The sequence below is a fragment of the Homo sapiens genome, chromosome 3, assembly GCF_000001405.40.
Source record: "Homo sapiens chromosome 3, GRCh38.p14 Primary Assembly".
NCBI classification, from domain to species: Eukaryota; Metazoa; Chordata; class Mammalia; order Primates; family Hominidae; genus Homo; species Homo sapiens.
This window is the reverse complement of record NC_000003.12, coordinates 170734038-170759798: the sequence shown is the minus strand read 5'-3', so window position 1 is coordinate 170759798 and position 25761 is coordinate 170734038. Positions and strand designations below refer to the sequence as shown.

At 40.3% G+C, this 25761-nt stretch overlaps 1 long non-coding RNA gene across 1 annotated transcript in view; it reads right to left on the bottom strand.

Moving 5' to 3' along the window:
* Positions 1-4593: 4593 nt before the first annotated feature.
* Positions 4594-25761, bottom strand: part of SLC7A14-AS1 (SLC7A14 antisense RNA 1) — a 287921-nt gene continuing 266753 nt past the window's right edge. The window contains exon 6 of the long non-coding RNA NR_135556.1: positions 4594-5410. This is a non-coding gene — a long non-coding RNA (SLC7A14 antisense RNA 1). The remainder of the gene's footprint in view (positions 5411-25761) is intronic.

Here is a 25761-nt window from a genome sequence, read left to right as displayed (position 1 = left end):
ATTATCAGAAAATACTGGTATTATTACAGCTATTAAAATAAGCTCTGGCCTTGAAAACATTGTCCTGAAAAGCTGATACAATCAAAATGAAGCAATAAAGGTTTAACCTTTGGTCATGCATAGACTAAGATGTTTTACTTACTTTTTCTTTTATTTGCCAAAAGGAAATAGAAAATTCAGAGGCGATGTTGACTTGGGGAGACCTTCTGAGGAAGGAAGAAATCCCAGGTGACCTGGTTCTCTTCACATTCCTCAGGAAGCCCGCTGGTTTCAGGAAGACCTGCACAAAGGGGAAACCTGACCTCATAATTGAACAAAGCTGATTTTTAAACATGGGAAGACAGGGCTAATGGGGTGGTTGTGAGGAGTATTAGTCCCCTTCAGGGAGAGAATTTAATATGACTGAGGTCACAGGAGACAATCTCCAATATACTCATTAGCAAATTAGTATTTTGTTTATCTTTAAAAAAAAGGGTGAGCCGGGCACGGTGGTTCACACCTGTAATCCCAGCGCTTTGGGAGGCCGAGGCGGACGGGTCACGAGGTCAAGAGATTGAGACTATTGTGGCCAACATGGTGAAACCCCGTCTGTACTAAAAATAAAAAAATTAGCCGGGCGTGGTGGCGCACACCTTTAGTCCCAGCTACTCAGGAGGCTGAGGCAGGAGAATCGCTTGAACCCGGGAGGCGGAGCTTGCAGTGAGCTGAGATCGCGCCGCTGCACTCCAGCCTGGGCAACAGAGCGGACTCCATCTCAAAAAAAAAAAAAAAAAAAAAGGTGGGGGTGGAGTCAGTTCAAAAGCATGGTGGGGAATTCTATGTTGAGGCAGTGCAGTATTTGGAGAAACTGCTGAGAAGATGTGAAAGACCACACATAACTATTTTATGCCCCTGTGAGATCCTTGCCAGAGCTTGATGGTGCCCATTAGTTCATTATTCCTTATGTTTTAAACTTTTGGTAGAACCTATAAGGATTATTATATGCCAGATGTATCAACTATGTTATAAACATGAACAATGAAAAGCTATTTTTTAAACCTATATGAATCTTGTGTAGCTTTTAAGAACATGTGTCCAAAAAATAAAGAATAAAAATAAAAACATGTCCAAAAGAACCATCATATAGAGTGGTCTGGTATAGACAGTGAATTAAGAGTCATCTGGGTTAAGTGCCTTTGGGAAAATCACTTCTCTGAATTTTAGTTTCTACTTCCCCTGCTTATTCCAGAGGGTTATTGTGGACACCAAATAAGGTGATGAATGTGAGAAAACACTTTTTAAATGCAAAACTCATGTTAGGAAAACATGTTATAAATGTAAATTTATAAAGGTGAGACTGGGAGAAGCAGGATAAAGAGAGGGAGAAAATCAGAAAGACGTCAGTGAGCAAAAAAGGAGGAGGAAACGTGAGGAAAAAAATCAATTTTCAAGATATTCAGGCATAAAAGAAGGCAGTTTGGAAGTGAAAATATACATGGTAAATGAACGACAATAGACAGAAGCTAAACATAAGTCACATATCTGTAAGACGGAATATTATGTGGATATGAAAAGTTATGCTTATGAAGTATTTGAATGGCATCAAAAACACTCAGCATGTTAACTAACAACAGATACAACATTGTATGTGTGAAGAAAATGCAGCCAATTGCATAAGAAAAGTATTAAAAGAGATTAGAAGGAAACATGGTAAAGCGGTTGCCTCTGAGTCGTAAGCAATTAAAGGAGGTTTCTATTCTTTCTGAAAAATTACCGTTTTCTTTAGTGAACATGAATCACTTTTCTATTTAAAAACTAAGCTGAACTAAATTAACAATAAAAGATAGGAGAAAAGCTAGATCAAGGAGATATATGAAGCAGAGTATCAGGAAACCTCCTGAAGCTTCTTTAGGCCTAAATATGGGATTTGTACCTGAAAGACCAAATATAAGTGCTTTGTTACCTCCACTTACGAGCGGTTCATTGTATACACATTGTATACACATGTACATTGTATACACAGTTCAATTATACACTGCTCATGTAGTACAAGGAACTATTTATTTTATTTTATTATTTTTCACACATTTTATTTTTTTCATGTATTTTTTTAAATTTTAATTTATTTCAATCGTTTTTGGGGAACAGTCGGTTTTTGGTTACATGGGTAAGTTCTCTAGTGGTGATTTCTGTCTGAGATTTTGGTGCACTTGTCCCCGAGCAGTGTACACTGTACCCAATGTGTAGTCTTTTGTCCCTCACCCCCGCATCCTTCCACTTGAGTCCCCAAAGTCCGTTCTTAATGCATCATTCTTATGCCTTTGCATCCTCATAGCTTAGCTCCCATTTATAAGTGAGAACAGACGATATTTGCTTGTCCATTCCTGAGTTACTACATTTAGAATAATGGACTCCAACTCCATCCAGGTTGCTGTGAATGCCATTAATTCATCCAGGAACTATTTAAGTGGTTTATATTGCTAAATAAAATATATGGGAGGCTACTGTTTTGGACTAAGCTCCTGCACTAAGTGCCACCAGACAAGACCAAAACAGAATGGAGTCACTCCTGCTAGATAATCATACTATACTTAGAGATGGGCCAATTTTCAAAAAGAAAAAAACAAAAACAAAAACAAAACAGGAGATTTGCAGCAATTAATCCAAAGGGCCCCAGTCAACCTGAAGCAGCATGAAAGAAGTCCCCTCTACTTTAACTCTGTAAGGAAAGTAACCTTTTTTTTTGAGACGAAGTTTCACTCTTGCTCAGGCTGGGGTGCAGTGGTGTGACTTCGGCTCACTGCAACCTCCACCTTCTGGGTTCAAGCGATTCTCCTGCCTCAGCCTCTTGAGTAGCTGGGATTACTGGCACCCGCCACCACTGCTAATTTTTGTATTTTTAGTAGAGACAAGGTTTCACCGTGTTGACCAGGCTGGTCTTGAACTCCTGACCTCAGGTGATCTGCCCACCCCGGCCTCCTAAAGTGCTGAGATTACAGGTGTGAGCCACCATGCCTGGCCAGGAAAGTAACTTTGAAATGACCAATCTACTGTTGGTTCCTGATTTTTGTTTTCTTCAACCTTTTCTTCCTGGAAAGTCTACCCCCCTGCTCTGATCATCAGAGAGCCTTTCTATTTTGAAGATGGTATACTACTTGACTTATACAAGTCAATTAGATCTTTAAATTCAATTTGTTGAGGCCAGGTGCGGTGGCTTATGCCTGTAATCCTAGCACTTTGGGAAGCCAAGGGAGGCGGATCACTTGAGGTCAGGAGTTCAAGACTAGCCTGACCAACATGGTGAAAACTCGTCTCTACTAAAAACCCCATCTCTACTAAAAATACAAAAATTAGTCGGGCATGGTGGCACATGCTTTGCCACTTATTAGCCCTCAGATCTTAGGAAGTTATTTCTCTGGATCTCATTTTCTACCTCTGTAAAATAAGGAGGGGGATAAAATTTCTTTAAGAGTGTTATGAGTGAGCCATTTATTATTTATTTATTTATTTTTGAGACAGAGTCTTGCTATGTTGCCCAGGCTGGGGTGCAGTGGCACTATCTCAGCTCATTGCACACCTCCTGGGTTCAAGCAATTCTCATGCCTCACCCTCCCAAGTAGCCATTAACCATCCAATAACCAATGTGATTATTACACATTAGATGCCTGTATCAAAATACCTCATATACCCTATAAATACATAAACCTACTATGTCCCCATAAAAATTTTAATTTCAAAAAATAAACTACCTTCTCAACTATCAATAGATAAGGTTGAATTCAATAAGCAAGTTTTGCCCCAGAAGTCTACCTATATGTGTTTGATTTATACTCCAAGATACTTCTTACTGGGCTAGTTTCATGTACTCTGTACAGGGCCAGGGTACAAAGCATATGGGGTTAGAGCTTCTGAAGCTTCAGCAAGTTGAGCCACTGGTGAATGAATGGAAGGAGGCATTCACAGGTATGTGATCCCACATCAAGGGCCTGGCATTGCAGCACAGCCAGTGGCGGTGATTTTGAGGTTTTCTCACATTTTCTGCATTTTATAATTATTCACCTGGTACTGCAGTTTGGCTGGGAGATCAAATGGGTCCTACCATTTGGCATCGTGAGCTTGCTACCTCCCTAGGAAAGATCACTGCCCCAAGCTCACACAGACCCTCCCCCAGCAAGTTGAGAAGCTGCTCACCAAGGGCTCTGTATGGTGAAGAAGGGAAAACCATCTACACTGGACAGTGCAGGGTCCCCAGCACCATGGCATCCTGTTGATCCCTCAGGCCCTGGGGCCACATCTGGGCACGTGCCTATGGGCCCAAAAGGAAGACCAGAGCCCTGTGTCATGAGAATTTGCACAACCAGCCCCATGGAAGTGTCTCACACTGACTTCAGGGCATCTCTCAGTCCCTAGCAAGTCACCATTCACTATTTGATTGCTTGAATTACAAGTTTTCAATGGAATCTTAGAGTTTTAGGGCTGGGAGACGCCTCTGAGATCATCCAATCTCCAAGAAACAGTACAGGGTAGTGTGTGGCAAAATCAAGGCCAGAGGCCATGTCTCCTGATACCCCATCCAACAGGAAGCTGGTGATGGAAAGATGCCTACTCTTGAAGGCTCCTCAGATGGTTTGTTTTATTTGTATGGAAACAAATTTCCCCATTGCACGTTTCAATGTCTTTCTTTTGCTTTCTCTACTTGCTTCCTTATCTGTAAAATGAGACCCTAAAGCCCATAATATGTGTAAAGCACTTGGAATTGTTATTAACACATAGAAAACAGTAAATGAGATGCTGTTGCTATTATTCATATTACTATTATAATCATTGTTAATTTCCAAGGGCTGCCATAACAAAGTAACACAAACTAGGTGGCTTAAAACAACAGAGCTTTTTTGTCTCGCAGTTCTGGAGGCAGGAATTCTGAAATCAAGCTGATAGAAGAGCTATGTCCCCTTCGAAGCTCTACAGGCAATTCTCCCTTGCCCTCGTCCAGCTTCTGGTAGCCCCAAGAGTTCCTTGGCTTGTGGCAGCATAATTTCAATCTCTGCCTCCATCTTCACATGGTCATCTTCCCTCTGTGTCTGTGTCTCTTCTCTTCTTACAAAGACATCAGTTTTATTTAATTAAAGATCCACCCTACTCCAGTATGTTAACTAATGATATCTGCATCCATCCTATTTCCAAATACAATCACATTTACAGGAACCAGGGGTTAGGACTTTAACATATCTTTTGGGATAATCCAATTCAACCCATAGTAATCATTACCATTGTCAAATTAGCACTTGTTGGAATGGACATTTCCATGTAGGGTAAAATGTGTTCACTTCATTCTTGTCATAGCCCTGGATAGAGCTGCCTCAGAGCTTGCCTGTACTCATTTCAGTCAAAAACTGATTTAGATGCTGGGCTTATAGAAGTTTCAGATCTTCTGGATAGAAAAAAAAAGAGGGATTTTAATTTGTGAAGAAACTGCAAAGGCAATACATTAATGCTGCTCTGTTGTTTTTATTAAGGAAGCTATAGAGAAAGTTAGAGTTCATCAGTAGGGCAGTTTCATTAGAACCATTTTTTTCTGACTAGCAATTTCTCAGTATTCTGGGTTTACACATCTAATTCCTCCAGAAGTTTCCCAGGGGGAGAAAAGACAACAAAACTTGAATAAAATTATGACTGTTGCACTTCATGAATATATTATTCTAGTACCAGGACTCTCCAGGACAATTTGTCCTCACAGTTTATTCAGAAGAGGGTAGGATAAGAAAAATGCACACATATTTGTATATGTATATAAATGTTATGTATACATGTATCTATATATAAATAAATACATATACACATAGATATGCAAAGGGTGAGTCCTTATCGTAGCTCCCCAGAACTAAATGTATCATTTGTCATTGATAATATAAGCATAGGTAGAAAATGCTTCCAGTAAATTCCAAGGGAAATGAGTAATTAAGAGAAATACTTTGATGGTGATTTGAAATCCCCATTTTAAAATGTATTTCAAGCTCTTGCCAATTGATTCAAGTATAGGTCATTTCCCCCATTTGCTCTCCATGTCACAAACATCTTTAAATATTGATTATTTCTTTGGCTACTACTAAAATCATGTCATACTACCATATTGAAAAAATTATGGAGATTTTTTTTATTACCCTAATTTGTGAGCTTTGGGCTGTTTATAATTTTTCTATGAGTCATTTTGAAATCCAGGATGCTGCTCAGGAACTCAAATAACAGTGATTTTGTATGCTATTATTCAGCTCCTTCCATACAGAGAACAGACTCTAACGTGCATCTAATGGAGTTAATATAATAAGTGCACTTTTCATGTGAGCAATTCCCCAGTGGGTTGCTGCTTTCTCTTTGAACATGAATCACAGATTACAAAATCTATAAGTAACAAAGCAAAATTTCTTATGCATCTAAAGGAGGAAAGATACCTTGTCACATCTTATTTTATATTCGAAATGCCTTTTCAGTGAAGGTAAGATATTTGTTTCCTAAATTTTTGACTAGTAGAAGGTGCCTCGGTACTTTCTTGGGGTCAAAAATAAGATAAGTGAACTAAAATGGATAACAAAGTGTCCCAAACTGGTAATGATAATGTGAACCAATTTTGAGTTATCATCCAAATGATGTTTTCAAAAGAACACAGAGGAGTTCTCGTCAGAGCATTTTATGTTGATTTTTTTTCTTTTGCATTAATGGTTTGCTCATTCCTGAATCTTGCTTGTTTAAATTGAACAAGCCGCAGTGACAGGCAAGAATGACTCTATTCTCTCTCGTCTTCTAAAAATGGCTTCAGGCAAAATATCATTTTTTCCTCCTGTTTTCCTGATGAAATCAGATAGTCGGATGGCATCTGTTCAGGAAAGAGGGCAGCAGCACGAGGTCTCTGGTGAAACCTAGCCACTCTGATTTGAATCTACATTCACCAGGTATCTTGTAGGGCTCCAGGCAAATGCTACCAGGCTTTGCCCCACTCTCTCCTACTCATCACTTGACCACCATGCCACTTTCACCAAGTTTGAAGTCCCTGGAACACCATTTGTTGATTCATTAACCAACATTTATTACACAACTGCTATGTGTCAGACACTGCTCTAGGTGATGGGGGCCCAAACATACTGTCCCTACCCTCAAGGACAATACTGATTATCTCTTAATCCCCAGGAGCCCCTAGAACACTCGGGCATTAGGCCCCTAACATCCCAGCAAGCCCATTCTGGGTCCCATAGAATTAAAGAATCTGAAGCTAATGCATATTTACTCAGATTTCTATCCCCCGATTTGGATTTGTGGGTTCAAGGGAAAGATTCCAAAGAGGGGTGGGAGTGGAAACTGACATTTCTCTGTACTTCCTGTACATAGTCTGCAGTTGGCCTTATCTGTGGGCACTGTAACTTCTAGGGATGGCTAGTGCCATTTTGAGCCTGAGTTGTTTATTTTGCTCTATAAACTTAAATCTCAGCTGTGTCATCAACAACTAGAGAGAGGAGTAAGGACTCTGACTTCTATTTCTTTGGAATCTGCATATTGTATTATACACCAGTAGGTTCTATAAACATGCTCTTGAGAGGCATATGAATGCATGCTACTGATTTGTCATCAAACTTGTCCTCAGTGTGAATGCACAGATTGGTGTCAGCAGCAACAACTCAGAAGGGAGCTCTCTCTTTTCTTCCTAAATGGCTCTAATAAACACCATCCTGTCAAACCCCAGACTTCTCTTTCACACACTCAGCATATCCTGCTCATGTGTGTGGGAGCTGTAATCACTTCTGGGGTAATTCAAAAATCCTGAATCAACCAAACACTAAACACAGTGATAGGTGCACAGTGCAAACTTAAAAGATATTTGGAGTTGAAACCAAATGTTCTATGAGAAATCTCAGGGGGTCCTTCTGAAATTCGGTCCCTGTGAGCATGACTTGCCTGAGGCCCCCTCTAAAACACGTTCCATCTCTGCTTTCCTCCCTCTTCCTCCCCACATTTCCCTGGAGGGTACAGGCATGCTTGGGTTGGTGCCCAATCCTGAATGACTCAGGGAGTTTACTTTCCTGGTAACATTCCCCAGCTGCCATTTAGAAATAAAAGAAAACAAATACATGGGGCCAGGAGGCCAGGAGCCAGCCAAGAGGTGGTCCTGCATACTGGTTACAGGCTCAGACTCTAGGGTCAGGTAAATCTGGATTCAAATTCAGGCTCTCTCACTTGCCAGTTTTGCACTTGATGGAAATTATGGAATTTCCTTAATGCTCATTTCCTGATCCATGACTAATGATAGTGCCTCTCTTGTGGTTTACTGTGAGGATTAAATAATGGCATTAATGGGAAGTCTTTAGCAGAGAGTCTAAGAGAGAGCACAAGCTCAAACTAAATGTTGCCCAAAAGCATTTTTCTGAGATGCTCTTTTCCTATGCTTCCTGGGGTCTATCCTGGTCTTTATGCCTCTTTGTGGCTGCTAGAATCCCTCTTCTTGAGGATTTCCTCTGCTTGGCTGCCTCTGCCACTTCTCTTTCTCACCCATTGCATCACATCAAAGATGCAGACTCTGATATATACCCTAGCCTAAAGCTCTACTTCCCAGGAATGGGGGCTCCCAACCAATAGTCTCCCTGACCCCAGATCACTCTCCATCAAGCTCCTCCTAGCTTGTTCAAGGCATCTTGTAGCCCGAAACAGTTGACACAATAAAGAATAATTTTGCTTGGTTACAATTTATAAGTGTGTCTTGATTTTATAGGTATCACATGCTATAACCATAAGCTTTATGTTTGTTCTTATTTGAATAATAGCATGATAAAAATAACTCAAGTGAATGCTGCAATAGTTTCTTTTAAAAGTTCTGTGTGTTTTGTAAGTTGAAAAAGATGGGTTTAAAGGATTAAAGTTACAGCATTTCAAAGCTTTTTTATGAAATGTATAACATGCTAATGTTTACTGTGTAGTACATATGTAAATGCCTTACTTGATTGTACATGTTTTGAGCAGAAATGGAATTGTATTTATATATCTCTATAGTGCCTACTACTGAGTTTTGCCTGTCACATGTTCTCAATATATATCCTAATCATGCAGCAAATGGTTACTGAGTATCCGCCTTGTGGGAAGCAATCTACAAGGCTTTGTAAGGAACACAAAGATGAGAATGACACAGGTCTGTCCTGGAAAGACAAGTGATAGGTAACCAGCCAGCTACCATAAGGGGAGGGTGGTTGGTGTGGTCGGAGATAAAAATTAAATGCTGGAGGTTCAGAAAGGGAATATGTGCTTCTGGTTAAAAGACCTCCCTTAAACCTCATGGAAGAGGAGGCATTTGAGCTGAGATTTGAAGGAGATGTAAGATCTGGACATGCCAAGATGGAGCAGGAAGGCTTTGTAGACAGATGTGACAACTTGATCAAAGACCAGAATGCACACAATACAAATAGAATATGGGCAGGAATCTGATTGGTGGTAAGTATGCTAAGTAGGAGAACAAGCCAAGAAAGCAGATTGGACCAAATCCTAAGGAGCTTGGCTGCAGGCTGTGAGGAGTTGTTCATGGAAAGTTTTTGATTAAGTGAGCAACATAGACAAATTATTCTGGTACTTCCCATTTTCAAAGAGTAAAGAACAAATATCCTAATGAAATGTAATCCAGAATCACAAAGTTTTGAAGGATGTGATAAAATTGGAAGAGTAGAGGATTTTCTGGAATCTATTGCAAAGGCCAGAGTGGGAATTTCTCAGGAGCTTCATGGCACTTAGAGCTGAAACCATATGTTAGACCCTTATCTATCCTCATCAGTATGATGTTTGCTGCTTACATCTGTCAAGTCAGGCAACTTATGAGGCACTCAGAGCCTCACAATCCACACTCACTGATGGAACAAGTAGATATTTCTCAAAGATGAGTAAGATTCTGTTTAGTTCTTTCCTTCAAAGAGACTTCTGAATAATAGGAAGAAGACAATCACTCTGATAATATTGTTCCTTGAAAGCCTGTTCCCAAGGCAAATGACCCATGAGAATGGAGCCTGCTGAGTGAGGGGGAAGAAATTGGATGTAGAGATACCATTTAGGAGGCCAATTCAGCCCTCTATGAGAGGCATAGTAAGGAACTTAATGTGAGGGCCACAGGGTGGGGAGAGGGGGTGGAAAGAAGGGAAGATGGGAGTTTAAAGTGTAGACTTAAAACAAACAGGGCTTGTCACATCATTGGATATTAGATGGGGTAGAAAGAGAAGTTCAACATGACCCTCGCATCTTGTGTGTTTAAAGAGATGATGGGGCCATTGCTCCATCAGTAAGAGCATGTTGGGGAATAGGGGGAGTTGATGAGCCTGGAATATTTTGAGTATCACTGTGACTAGATTATAGGTATCTTCATTCAGTGGTTTGCCCAAGGGAAAGGATTGTGTGATGTTCATGTGAGTAGTCCCAGCACCCAGCACAAAGCCTGATACTGAGAAATTTCTCAATAGATATCAAAGAACTGAACTGTTGACTTGAATGGCCCAGCACACAGATATGCCAGTCTGGTGCTAGGGAGAGGAGTGGATCTGCTGAGAGGTGAATGTTGAGGAGAAAGAGCATAGAGCAAAGAGGCAGAGGACAGCACCTTATACTGAGGTAGCCACACGGAATATGGGGAAAGGAAGAAAAACCCATGAAGGAAACTGAGATGGAACTTTAGAAAGGAGAAAAGAACTGAGAAAAATGCAGGGTCCCTGAAACATTGAGAAGAAAAAACTTCAAGAACAGGAGTTAGAGAATACTTTTTAAACAGGAGACTAAAACCACTAGCTGTTAAGGAAAATATGGAACAATTTAATTAATGTTAACATTTTCTGTCCTTCAAAAGTAACCATTAAGATAGTGAAAAGGCAAGCCACAGATTGGAGAAGATATTGACAACACAGGTAACTGACACTGAACATAATGGAGACTATATGAACAACTACTACAAATAAATAAGAAAATGAAAGGCAGTACAAAGGATAAACAGGCAAGAGACTTGAAAAGGTACTTTATAAATAAAGAATATCCAAATGTCCAAAATGTGTGAAAGGATATCAACTAACAATCATTGGAAAGCAAATTTAAAATATTATACAACTACCTTTATGGCCAAAATTAATAAGACTGATTATGCCAAGTTTTGGTGAGGATTTAGAACTATAGAAACTGATATACTGCTGGTGGGAGTGTAAATGAAGACAAACACAACACTCTGGAGAACTGTGTGGCACTGTTTACTAAAGTACTGGATAATGCAATCTATTCCTCAGTAATTCCACTCTTAGGCATATCTCCAGAAGAAATGTGTGCCCACACATCAAAAGACATACACAAGAATGTTTAGAGCAACACTATTCATCCTACCTCCATCTGGAAACAACGCAAATGGCCATCAACAGTAGGATGGATAAATAAATTGTGGTATATTGTGTGAAACACTATAAGAGCAATAAAAATAACTAAACTGCATCTAAATGCAGGAAAACAAATAAATCTCACAAATATAATGTTGGCTGAAAGAAGCCAGATCCAAAATATTATTATAACCAAACAGAATATACTGTTTGGGGCCAGGCACAGTGGCTCATACCTGTAATCCCAGCACTTTGGGAGGCCGAGGCAGGTGGATCACCTGAGCTCAGGAGTTCGAGACCCTCCTGGCCAACAAGGCGAAACCGTGTCTCTACTAAAAATACAAAAAATTAGCCAGGCATGGTGGCGGGCACCTGTAATCCCAGCTACTTGGGAGGCCAAGGCAGGAGAATCACTTGAACTCGGGAGGTGGAGGTTGCTGTGAGCCGAGATCATGCCACTGCACTCCAGCCTGGGTGACAGAGTGAGATTCTGTCTCAAGAAAAAAAAGAATATACTGTTTGGTTCCAATTGATAGACAAAACTAAGTATTTAGGGGTGCACACTAGTGGCAAAAGAGTAAGAAAAGGCAAGCAAGTAAGTGATGTAGAAACAAGGGTAGTGGTTGCCTTGAGGAGGGCAGGATGGGAACTGGAAGGGTCGCAGCTGGGAGACTGGCATTGTTTAATTTCTTGTCCTGGGAAGTGATTACATGGATAACAATCCATCAAGCTGTGTATTCATGTAGCTTGCACATTTGTATACATATTTTATTTTAGAGGAAAAAAAATTTTTAAAGAACAGGATGGTAAAAAAAATTACAGCTATTTCAGTGTGGGGTTTACGTGGATAATAGCAGAGGACAGACTCTTGGCTTTATGGGTTACTTTTAATTTTCCAAAGAAGAGTTTCAGTAAGACAGGACAGAAGCTACATTTTAAGGGGTTAGGGAAGAAATTGGTTTTAAGGAAATGGAGGTCAATAGTAAAGACATGCAAAGGTTTTTTTGACAAAATGAAGGAGAAAGAAGAGGAGGCAACTTGATTGGGTAGAAAGTTTCCACTTTATTTTTAAGGCTATAAGTGTCTTCAATATAAAGACAATCTGGAGAGGTGAAAAATTCAAATGATAGCAAAGATAATTGATGGATAAGGTAAATGACATGTGGCAGTATTGGCTGTCATTGAGGGGTTACTTCCTAAGTGGTAAACATAAAGGAAGAGCTCTCAAGGATGGAAAAAAGGGGGGTCAAAGAGGAAAACTGGGGTTCAGAGGTCCCCCTTCTGCTCAGTGACACAGAAGGTAAGAGGTGCTAAAGCAGCCTTGAGGACCTGAGAAAGGTATACATGCCCTACGTAGACCCCAGGGTCTGTAGGTGGCATCTCAGGTCTAGCTGAAGTTGGTAGGAAGAACTTGGGTGGATTTGATCAGCAAGGCTTTTGAGGTTCTCTAGCAAGTACAACAGATTGGAAAGAATAATGATGAACTGGACAGTGTCATTTATCATGGTCCATACATTGATGGTAAGGGCAGGCACTGCTGTAGCTATATTTGCAGGGAAAGTTCAGAAAGCTGAAGAGATCAGAAAAATGATATTCCCTTGTTCTTCTCAACAAAATAACAGAGAAGATTATTTGCTGAGGGTGGAGGGATTGAGAGCTTTAAAGAAACTGATAAAGTTTGAAAGAGTCATTGAAGGCAATGAAAGAAGAGCTGATCAAAGTCAAGTTCAAGAATTGACTGACAAGGCAACACGGAGAGCCAGGCTGAGGTTTGGAGCCATGAGTCTGCTGTTGCATGAATCTGCAGGCTGTGTTCCCAAAACACCAAAGGTTCAGTCTAGGTCCTGCTGCTCACCTCACAGAAAGCCAATCACTGAGACAAGAGTATTTCCAGAGAAGAAGGCTTTAATTAGGTACTGCAGCTGGGAAGATGGGACGTCAGTCTCAAATCCATCTCCCTGACCAACTAAAACCAGGAACTTATATAGCAGGGAAGAAATGTAACATGCAGGAAAACAGGAATTAGGGAGGGGTAGGGAAGAGGAGTTGGTCAACAGAAAGCAAGTGGTCAGATAGGCAATCATGATGGGTGAGGGGTCTGGAATGTTGTCCAGATGGAGTGAACTGGTACGTTCCAGTTCCTTGATGCTATCTGGGAGGACTGATGTTTGGTTTCCTGGGAAAGAACTCAGATAAGACAAATTTATCTTCCTTAAGTTTTAAGACTGGAAGAGTCAATTTTTATGTTTATTCAAAAGAAACCATAGTATCAGTTCTATGGGTCAAGTGAAATCAGTTGAATGGGACAATTGGACTTGTTTCAGTTGTAGGATTTTCTCCTCAGCTTCTTGGAGAAGGAAAAATAAAACTGCAGTACTAATCCCATACCATGTTTTGCTAGATGAATATAGCAAGGGACAGGGTGAAGAAGTGGTGGCAAGAAATTAGAAGATACTGGCAGAAATTGGTTTAGGATCTCACCATGTGGCCCAGAATTTGAAAGAAAAGATAAAAGAGGAATTTCTGGATAAAATGAACCTCGATAGTCAAAGAACAAAGGCAAAAGAAATAGAGTCATGAGAACACTGGAAATTTTGAATATTGCAATCTGGGAGGATATTAAGATAACTGTTCCAACTAGTGACAGTTTCTAGGGTGTAAATGGATGGCTGAAGTAGAAACAAGGTCATTAAAAGAAGTGGTCTAGGAACTGAAAGGCTAGGTGATCAGATAAGCCTAATGGATGAATGTTCATAGGATGATAAATAGGTTTCAGATTTTATGCCAACTCAGCCTGAACATTCTGGCTGCCTCAGTGCAGTATTGAGAGGGATTCTGAGGCCATTTTAAGGGCCAGACAAAAAGAGTGCAGGAGTTGGCATGTAGAAGAAAACAGAGTAAGGTATGACTCAGGAATTCAAAGAATGAGAGGTAGTGACTAGTTCAAGAAGAATTGCAGGCATGCAATAAATATTAATCACCAAGTTGATATTCTTTTCTTTCCAGTCAGGCTATATTTCTTCTCTTATCTCTCTTCAACTAGTTACCACCATGAACCCAAATCCCCATTCATTTTAAAGATGGCTTAAAATCTTCCTTTGCCAGCACTTTTTGAGTTTTGTCCAATCAGAGGTCACTCAGTGGAAAACTGTACAGCAACATCCATACACACTTAAGGAATTCCAAGCCATTCACATTGAACCCACATGGTCTCTTAGGAGTGCTCCCAGGGTTGTGTAGAAGAAAAAGAAAGCAAATTGGACCCTTTACAGAAAACACATTTTTATTATCTGTGAAACTCAACTGGCCATTTAGAGTATGATTGTTCTGTACTTGGAACAGTGGAAAGATGGGCCAAGTTATAACACATTAAGCATGCATATTATTTCAATTAATACTCATGATGGCCCTGTTGATGAGATATTATCACTACCATTTATTTAACAAAGTATTTAAAATACTTTGTTATTTTAAATTAAAATTACATCTTTCATGTAACAAAATACAGATGCATGGATAGCATAAATTAAAAGTCTTTTTCTCAACACATCTTACACCCTTGTCCATTTTGTTGACAGAGACAGTCCCTTTGAGATTAAAACACTTGTCAAAAGTCACATAGGGAGTGGAAGAGGTAGCAATGAAAGCCATGTTTGTCTAACTAAAGACACTTTAATCTTTGTTTTATTACTTAAACACCATTGCCTAGTACTAGTCTTTTCAGGAAGGATATTACAATGAGCAGAAAAGATAATAAGCGGCGATCATGAAGACTACTTATTATTAACTAAACAGAAAGATGAGGCAATGTCAAGTGATATGGTTTGGCTCTGTGTCCCCACCCAAATCTCATCCTGAACTGTAATAATCCCCATGTGTCAAGGGTGGCACCAGGTGGAGATAATTGAATCATGGGGGTGATTCCCCCATGCTGTTCTCATGATAGTGAGTGAGTCCTCACAAGATCTGATGGTTTTATAAGGGGCTTGCCCCTTCACTCAGCACTCATTCTGTCTCCTGTGGCCCTGTGAAGAGGTGCCTTCTGCCATGATTGTAAGTTTCCTGAGCCTCCCCAGCCATGTAGAACTGTGACTCAATTAAACCTCTTTTCTTTATAAATTACCCAGTCTCAGGTATTTCTTTATAGCCACGTGAGAACAGACTAATACATCAAGGAAAATGGAAACTGACACAAATGTAAAAATTCTATTGAGACAGACTGACCTAAGCTGGTTCTGTCTATGGTTCTGGACTTGCTTATAAAAGCAAGTGACAACAGCAAAAATATGGAATCAATGTAAGCGCCCAACAATGGATGAATGGATAAAGAAAATGTGGTATACATACAGAATAGAATATTATTCAACCATACAAAAAGAATGAAATCCTGTCATTTGTGACAACCTGGATGAATCTGGAAGACATTTTATTAAGTGAAATAAGCCAGATGCAAAAAGACAAATACTATATGATATCACTCATATGTAGAATCTAAAAAAAATTGAAAGGCTAGGCATGGTGGCTCACGCCTGTAATCCCAACACTTTGGGAGGCCTAGGAGGGAGGATCACTTGAGATCAAGAGTTCAAGACCAGCCTGGCCAACATGAGGAAACCCCCATATCTACTAAAAATACAAAAATTAACTGGGCATGGTGATGTGCACCTGTAATCCCAGCTACTCGGGAGGCTGAGGCACAAGATTCACTTGAACCTGGGAGGAAGAGGTTGCAGTAAGCCAAGATCATGCCACTGCACTCTAGCCTGGGTGACAGAGTGAGACTCCGTCTCAAAAAAATAGATATCATAGAAGCAGAGAGTAGACGGGAGGTTGAGGCAGGAGGATCACTTGAGCCCAGGAGTTTGAGGCTGCAGTGAGCTATGATTATGCTGCTGCACTCCAGCCAGGGCAACAGAGTGAGACCTTACCTCTAAAGAAAAAAAAAAAAAGAAAGAAACAGAGAGTAAACAGTGGTTACCAGAGACTAGAGAGGGGAGTGGGGAAGAATGGAGAGAGAGTGGTCCACGGTACAAAGTTATAATTAGATAGGAGGAATAAGTACCGCTGTTCTATTGCACAGGAGGGTGACTGTTACAAAATAGCTAGGAGAGAAGCTTTTGAATATTCTCACCACAGAGAAATGATGAATGCATGAGGTGATGGATATACTAACTACTCTGATTTTATTGTTATACAACATATATATGTATTGAAACCCTAAATTGCACACCATAACTATGTACAATTACAATGTGTCAAATTTTTTTAAAAAGGCAATTGAACATATAGTTGACTTTCACTTCAGCCAAAGATGGAGTAATAGGGACAGGACTTACTTTCCTCCTGAAAAAAATCTGGAGAAAATATATGAAACAACCAAGACCATGGACATCAGCAATGCAGGACAGTAATTCCTATGGACAGTTGCCCTAGGTTACCGCCTGGAGAGAATGTCCAAGCTGTGCCACAGGGAAGTGGAAAGCAGAAGGGCCCAGTGTTCTCTCTGAGTGGAGGAGATGAAGCAGGGAGTCTGGGAAGGTGGAGTCAGCTGGAGTTCTTGGGGCAGAGTTGCAGAGAGGAAAAATCTGCATGCTAAGGGAACTCCAGAGGTCTGTGGAAGGTTCCCTTTGGGTCTTTAGCTCCATACTGATTGGCACATGTAAGATAAGAAACTATCTGAGGTCGGTATACAAACCAACCAACAGGATTAGAGGGAACATAGCTGAGGCTCACACAGAACCAGGAATAATTTCTGATCTACCAGCCACAGTACAAAACCTCTTAATTCACTGGGCATCAGATGGTGTATTGAAAAGGTCTTTGCCTCAAAAGAGGAGCAAAATTAGGTCTAGAATAAATGATGCTCTGGTCTCACCTAAAGAAAAACCTTAAAATCAAGACCCAGAAAGATCAAAGTGTGTCTAGATAACTTAATTGTTAGGACAAATCTCATGCATGTTTATAGGAATATACAAATATTCAGCACTCAACAAAGTAAAGCTGCCAATGTCTAGCATCCATTCAAAAATTATCCAGCATGCCTCTTCCTCAATCCATGTTTTCAGTTCTGATCCATCTGTTCCATATTATTTCCAGCTGTACCTTAGGTAGCAAATGTTAAATGTGTCTTTCCTCTCTGCCACTTTCTCTGAATTCTTAGCAGCTTTCACTAGGATTTTGAAACTGCATTCCTGTACCCAAAGACCTCTAGGCCTCACTTGGTTTCTCTCCACTCTCCTGCTAACATAGCCTGAAGCCACCTTTTAGAGAGGATACAAACAAAAACAAAAACCCAAAAACAAACCAAAAAAGGAATGTTGTAGGCCCCAGCAATTTCTTGGTGTAATTCATTTACTAAGAACTGCTCCTTTGGGGACGAATAATCCAGCTTGTCTGACAATTTCTATGTATTATATGCCACTCAGTACAAAGTGTAGTAGTTTAATGACAGGAAGATTTGTGTTGTGAGTAATCTGAGCAAATGTTCCTCAAAGCCACAAGAAGCTTAGGGTTTAAAGGCAAGAAATTTGGGAACGTTTTAAATGTGACTCATCCAGGTAAATAGGACCACAAATATAAAATTCAAAACACATGCTCTAAAAATATCCACATCTTCACATGAAGCATGCTCTCCTTATGTAATAAGGCATGTCTTTTAGATATTTTTCAGAAAGAATCTGATTTCATTCTTGAGAAAAGCTATTAAATTCTAAGATCTGTGCTTTGTGTGATCTCAGTCTCCTGACTAAAGCCTCAGGCAATAATAATATATCAAAAACAAAATCGGCATTGAAAAGATTTTAAAATAGAGGGAACTGCAATAATCTCTTCCTTCCTGGAGGCAGGTCTCTCAGGCTAGGGATGGAGTCACAGGATTCACCTAGAAACGCTTGGTATCCTTGGGATGTCCTCTTAGGTAAGAAAACAAACAAACATCCAAGTATTTGTCAGATTCCTACCACGTGCCAGATTCTGTGTTGTGTGCCAAAGGCTTGGAATAAAATGAAGCCACGCCCCAGCCTCGCAGTTAGTGATGCTCTTATTCAAGTGGTTTTGGTTTGGCTGCCTCTGACACTTTATTCCATGTTGCCTAATAGTTTTAAAAGCCCCTATTTTATAGTCAGTGCATCTTTCTGTGGGTCCCCAGAGAAGGGAAGACTGTGAGGTAAGGGAAATACAGTTTCTTCCCTCCTCCCTCTCTCTCCTCCTCCTTTCATGCCCTTCTGGGCTCTCTGACAAGGGCTGTTGTGGGCGGGGGAGCTCGCAGCGTTTGAGGCTTTAGTTTTAAATTCTGTTCAGGTTTTCCTCTAAGTACTGCTCTTCACTGTGTCTGCTCATAACTGAGTCTCCCCACTTTCCTGGCTCTGCTTATTCTTAGAGCTCAAAGGCCCCTAGGATCACTTCTTCTGCCCCAGCCAAACTCAGCTCTCCCCTCCATTTTGATGTACCAGAAACAACTTTCGGTCCACAAGAAACAGTGGGTTTGTTTGGCAAGTCCCAGGACACTGGGGTATGGCCTGGCAATCAGACCCTGCTGGGCTGGGCTGTGAGTGGCATGTGAATGTGAACGCTCCTACCATGAGCGGCATCAGGCTGTGTCCTGCTCCTTCCCCTTCTTTCCTTTGTATATAGTGATCCCTGTCCCTGGAACTCTTCTCTCATTCCTGCCTACTGCCTCTATTTTCACCTAGCCAACTCCTTTCTTCAAATGTTTCCTCCTATAGAAGTCTTTGGGGGTTAGGTAGTGTTATGGACTGAAATGTTTCCTCTGCTCCCAAATCCATATATTGAAATCCTAAACCCCAGTTTTCAGAATGTGGCTTTATTTAGAGATAGGTTCTTTTCAAAGGTAGTCAAGCTAAAATGAGGTCATTAAGGTGGGCTGTAATCCAACATGACTGGTGTCCTTATAAAAAGAGAAAAGTGAACACAGAGCCGTGCAGAGGAAAGATGATACAAGGAGACACAGGGAAAAGACAGCCATCAACAAGCCAAGGAGTGAGTCTCTCACAGCCCTCAGGAGGAGCTAGCTCTGCCAACACCTTGATCTTGGACTTCTAGCCTCTAGAACTGTAAGAAAATAAATGTCTGTTGTTTAAATCGCCCCACCCATGGTATTTTATTATGGCAGCCCGAGCTGTTGCACTTAGCCTCTCTGAGCTTCAGTTTCTTCATGTATTGACTAGGGGTGATAATTTCTATTTTATGGGTGGATGTGAGGATTGAATGAGATGATATATATGAACATCCCTGGATAGATGGCTGTTCTGTGCACAGGGACAGGCAGGGCATGTCTGCACAGCAAGTGGGGACTGAAGCCAATTTGGGACTTATTGATCATCAGGTGCCTATGGGACATCCAGGAAGACACTCTAGTAGCAATGGCACATACAGTGCTGGGTGAGTGCCAAATCCATGTCAACTGAATTCCTTTATTTTCCCTGTTCCCCATTTCTCTCTCCCTCATTTTCATATGTGTAATCCAACAAGGCTGATGTTCTCCACACCGCCTTTCCATCTCCACTCTTCTCTCTACTCCTTATAACCTGTCAGCACAAACAATAAAATGTGTATGTATCTATCTATCTGCCTCTATTACCTGGGAAGTCATTTACTTTATGAAAAAAATAAAGATTGGAAACCCATGGGGCTTATGGAGGATGTAGAGAATGTTTGAATGGAGCAGGGCTTCCTTTGTGTCACAAAGACGATAGTGGGTGGTATGGATGATTTGTGAGGTTTTTGATGGTACTTACCATGAGGAGACTTGGGGAGGCAAACCAACTCATTTATAAATATGAGCTACTTCCTTCGAACATTTTATACTGAGACATGTAGATAGAAATGCCTCAGGCATGAATTCTTGGCAATTTAGTTGCTTCTGGGTTTTAGAGAAACAAATTTAAGTGCATTAAATGATTATATCTGGGAAATTATACCATACTGCTTTGAAATTAAAAAAAGCTCTGTCATAAGCTCAACATGTGTAAGTATATGTAAATGCGTGTGTTTATGTGTGTGTGTGTGCGTGCACACACATACATGTGTATTTGTGTGTTTGAATAAGAAAGTAAACTGAGGGAGAGGAAGATACTTGATGTTCGTTTATATTCACTAGTCTTTTATCTCAAGCTGAAATCTTTTTTCTTTGGATACCTGTGGTTGTCTGATCACCACAGGTGTTAGTGAGAGCTAACAAAATGACCAGAGAGAAGAAATATAAAATTATACAGAGAAAAGCCCAGACTAGACTTTCAAATCTGACCCATTCCATGATGTATTGCCTTTCACAGAATTATGAGCCATAGCATGTCATAACCAGGAAGGACACCACTGTCACCTGGTTCAGCTCCCTCATTCCAAGGCAACGATGGGAGGAACAGAGAAACAAAGCGATCTGTCTAAATGACCCATGGAAAAGCAGTGGGGCAGCCCCATCCAAGCCTGGGCAGAATTTCATGCTGTGAGGCCACTGTGTAATCCACATGAGGATCTAGGTCAGAGGTGATGGGTTTATGAGAGGGCAACGCTTCAGTGTGGCATTTTAATTTATGAAATTGAAGCCTACTTTGCAGTAAGCAACTCACCAGCTGCTGAAGCAGGGCTCCAGTAGCATAGAAGGTGCCTTCATGACAAATTAGAAAAAGGCACCCCCTTCAGGCATATGACACAGGAGAGAGATATACCTTTCAGTAAAACAGGGAAATCTCCCTTCACTACCTCTGAGTAGGTGTCCATGGTTGGACACCATGCTTGGAAAGCAGAGAGCAGCCTGGATTTCAATCCCCACTGGTCCCTTGGCTGAGGGCTCTATTGCAGAACAACCTGCCCAACTGTGCCTGGCAGATCTTTGCAGAGCTGTACCCTCACTGTGGCTGAAGGAATGGGGAAGTCTTTGCATAGCTAGATGAGACCTGGGGTTCCTCTTTAAAAAACAATAATGTGTTATTGATACATTATCTTTGAACGTATTTGTGGGGTACATGTGAAATCTTGTTACATTCATAGAATGTGTAATGATCAAGTCATTGTATTTGGGCTATCCGTCCCCTCAAGTATTTATCATTCCTATGTGTTGGTAAGATTTCAATTCTTCTCTTCTAGCTATTTATTTTGAGATATACAATACATTGTTGTTAACTATAGTCACCCTCCTCTGCTGTTGAATATTAGAACTTATTCCTCCTCTCTGACTATATGTTTGTTCCCATTAACCAACCTCTCTTCATCCTCCCCCTGCCCCAACATACCCTTCCCAGTCTCTGATAGCTATCATTCCATTGTCTACCTTCATGCGATCAATTTTTTTTTAGCTCCCACATATTGATGAGAACACATGATATTTGTCTTTCTGTGCCTGCCTTATTTCACTTAACATAATGACCTCTGATTTCATCCATGTTGCTCCAAATGACAACATGGATGAATAAAAAGGATTTTATTCTTTTTTATGGCTGAATAGTATTCTATTGTGTGTATATATACCACATTTTCTTTATCTACTCATCTGTTGATGGACACTTAGGTTGACTCCATATCTTTGCTACTGTGAATAGTGCTGCCATAAATATGGGGGCACAGTTATCCTTTAGATACACTGATTTCCTTTCCTTTGGATAAATACCCAGTAGCGGAATTGCTGGAATTTTAGTTTTTTAAGAAATTTCCATACTGTTTTGCATAGTGGCTGTACTAATTTACATTCCCACCAACAGTGTATAAGAGTTCCCATTTCTCTGCATCCTCAGTAGCATCTGCTATTTTCTGTCTTTTTCATAATGGCTATTCTAATTGCGGTAAGATGATATCTCATTGTGGTTTTGATTTCCATATTCCTGATGATTGGTAATGTTGACCTTTTTTTTTTACCTATTGACCATTTGTATATCTCCTTTAGAAAAATGTCTATTCATGTCCTTTGCCCATTTCTTAATGAAATTATTTAATTTTTTTTTTTTTTTTTTACCATTGACTAGTTTGAGTTTCTTATCTGCTGGATATTAGTCCTCTGTTGGATGAATAGTTGGCAAATATTTTCTCTTTCACTCTGTTGATTGTCTCCTTCACTCTGTTGATTGTTTCCTTCACTGTGCAGAAAAGAAGCTTCTTAGTTTAATATAGTCCCATTTGTCTATTTTTTGTTTTCGTTGCCTGTGCTTTCGAGGTCTTAGCCATAAAATCTTTGCCTAGATCAGATCGAGACCATCCTGGCTAACACGGTGAAACCCTGTCTCTACTAAAAATACAAAAAATTAGCCGGGCGTGGTGGCGGGCGCCTGTAGTCCCAGCTACTCAGGAGGCAGGAGAATCGTGTGAACCCAGGAGGCAGAGGTTGCAGTGAGTCGAGATCGCGCCACTGCACTCCAGCCTGGGTGACAGAGCGAGACTCCATCTCAAAAAAACAACAAAAAAAAAAAACAAAAAAAAACTTTGCCTAGACCAATGTCCTGAAGTGTTTCCCCTGTGTTTTCTTCCAGTAGTTTTATACTTTCAGGTCTTATGTTTAAGTCTTTAATGCATATTGAGTTAATTTTTGCATAGGTGAGAGATGGGGTCTAGTTTTATTCTTCTGCGTATGGGTATCCAGTTTTCCCAGCACCATTTATTTAAAAGGGTGTCCTTTTCCAAGTGTATGTTCTGGATGCCTTTGTTGAAAATCAGTTGGCTGAAAATAATAGATTTGTTTCTGGGTTCTCTATTCTGCTCTGTTGGTCTATGTATCTGTTTTTTTATACCAATATTATGTTGTTTTGGTTACTATAGTCTTGTATTTTGAAGACAGGCAGTGTGATGCCTCCAGCTTTGTTCTTTTTGTTCAAAATTCCTTTGGTTATTTGGGCTCTTTTTTGGTTCCATACAAATTTTAAGATTGTTTTCCAATTTCTTTAAAACCTTGCTCTTTTGATAGGGATTGCATTGAATCTGTACATCGTTTTGGGTAGTATGATAATTTTAACAATATTAAATCTTCTGATCCATGAGCATGGGGTGTCTTTCCATTTGTTGGTGTCCTCTTCGATTTCTTTCATCAAGTTTTGAAGTTTTTCTTGTAAAGGTCTTTTACCTCCTTGGTTAAATTTATTCCTAGACATGTTGTTGTTATTGCTATTTTTTTGTAGTTAGTGTAAATAGAATTGCTTTCCTGTTCTTTTTACGTATTTCATTATTGGTATATAAAAACACTACTGGCTTTTGCATGCTGATATTTTGTCCTACAATTTTACTAAATTAGTTTACCAGTTCTAAAAGAGCTTTTTTTGGTGGAGTCTTTTGTTTTTCCAGATATAAGATCATATTATCAACAAAGAAGAACAGTTTTACTTTCTCTTTTCCAATTTGGATGCCTTTTATCTTTTTCTCTTGCCTGATTGCTCTGGCTAGGACTTCCAGTACTATGTTGAAAAGAAGTGGTGAGAATGAACATTTTTTTCTTGTTCCAGTTCTTAGAGAAAAGGCTTTCGACTTTTTCACATTCAGTATGATGTTAGCTGTGGGTTTGTCGTATGTGGCATTTATTATGTTAAGGTATGTTTCTTTTATGCTCAGTTTGCTGAGAGTTTTTATCATAAGGGATGTTAAATTTTATCAAATGCTTCTTCTACATCTATTAAGATGGTCCTGTGGTTTAGTTGTTCATTCTATTGATATGATATATCACATTTGTTGATTTCTATGTGTTGAACCATCCGTGTATCCCTTGTATAAATCTCATTTGACCATGTTGTATTATTGTTTTATATGCTGTTGGATTCAGTTTGCTGGTATTTTGTTAGAGGATTTTTGGGTCTATGTTCATCAGAGATTTGGGTCTGTAATTTGTTTTTTTGTTGTTGCATCCTTGTCTGTTTTCGGAATAAGGATAATGCTGGCCTCATAGAATGAGTTAGGGAGAATTCCCTTCCCTTTAATTTGTTTAAATAGTTTGAAGAAAATTAGTGTTAGTTCTTTATACATTTGGTAGAATTTAGTAGGGGAGCCATCCAGTTTGGGACTTTTCTTTGTTGGGAGACTTTATTACTGATTCAATCTCACTACCTGTTACTGGATACCTGGGCTTCTTAAGCTGCTTCACCATCTCTTCCTGCCTCCTTCCTGTCTCCTCTTTTACTTCTTCTTCTTCTTTTTTTCTCACCACTTGGTAAAGTGGCTGGTATGGCACCAATAGGACACAAAGATGCTATTTTAGAATAACATACGGAGACTAATATACTTTACCTAGCCTTGCAAGATTACTGGCTCAGGAGAAGCCACACCAGGGTTCCCCACTTCTCCCCTGTGTTTATGCAGATGGGATGCGAGCCACTTGCAGGCCTGGCCTATAAAAGATTCCCATACATGCTTTCCATTCTCAGCTCCCTTTCCAACTGACTGGGATCTCAATGCCCATGGAGCCCTTGGAGGCCACATACTGAACACAGACAAGTCTCCTTCAGTCAGAGTCTCTGAAAGACCGTGTCAGGGAGAGCTGCTCCACCAACCTTGTAGCAAAAAATGTGTTTTTATTATGTTAAGCCACTAGAATTTTGAGGTCTATTTGTTTCTACAAGTTAATGCAATCCACTTAGCAGATGGCTGCATGGCCCATAAAAGAGATGATGAGGATTTGGTTCAGGGATGAGGCCACAGGGAATAAAAATGCAAAGATAAACTGTGGCTCAAGCCATACAAGCTTTCCTCACATTGCTCAGAGGAATGGAGAGGAGTTAAAGGAGTCCATTGGAGTTGAATGAAAGCTCTACTGCCTGGAAGGAACTCCTGCAAGCAGGTAGCCAAATAGATGATGAAGCTGATGGTGGAGGTGTCAGTCAGGAAAAGTAGTAGCCATGGCAACAGACTTGGTAGAAAGGCCACCAAGAGGCAGTACAGAGCAATTTGGCCGGGACAAAACAGCAGGAAGATATCAATAACAGAGATGGAAACTGTTGGGACTCGGGAAGGCAGAGGTGGAGGCCCTGGGTTTAGCTCAGGGGGTTTGTGCTGTCTTTCTCCTTGCCTCGCTCTCCCTGCCATAACACACTGAAGAGAGTGTTCAGAAGCCCAAGCTACAGAGGGAGAGAGGAGGATGAATAGGTCTGGAAGAAGGAATTTGCTTGAGTTCTTTCCTCTTCCACTTTTCCTGTCCTTTTCTTCAACACTTATCACAGATCCTCCCTGGTTGCTTCCAAGCAGAATAGAGCCCAGGCTGCCATGCTAAACACGACTAAAACATTCCAGAGATGTCATCAAGCCCCAAACACTTGCTAGCAACACATTTTAAGAGTGTATGTGGTATGGGGGCGGAGTAAAAGAATTTATTAGGGGGATAACTAATGATTTTGGCGGGTCTCAAAGATAATTGTTTTGAGCTGTTATTTATCCTGTTTTACCTCTGCCCGCCTTTTCCCATCCTACCCCAATTCTCAAATCCTTTACT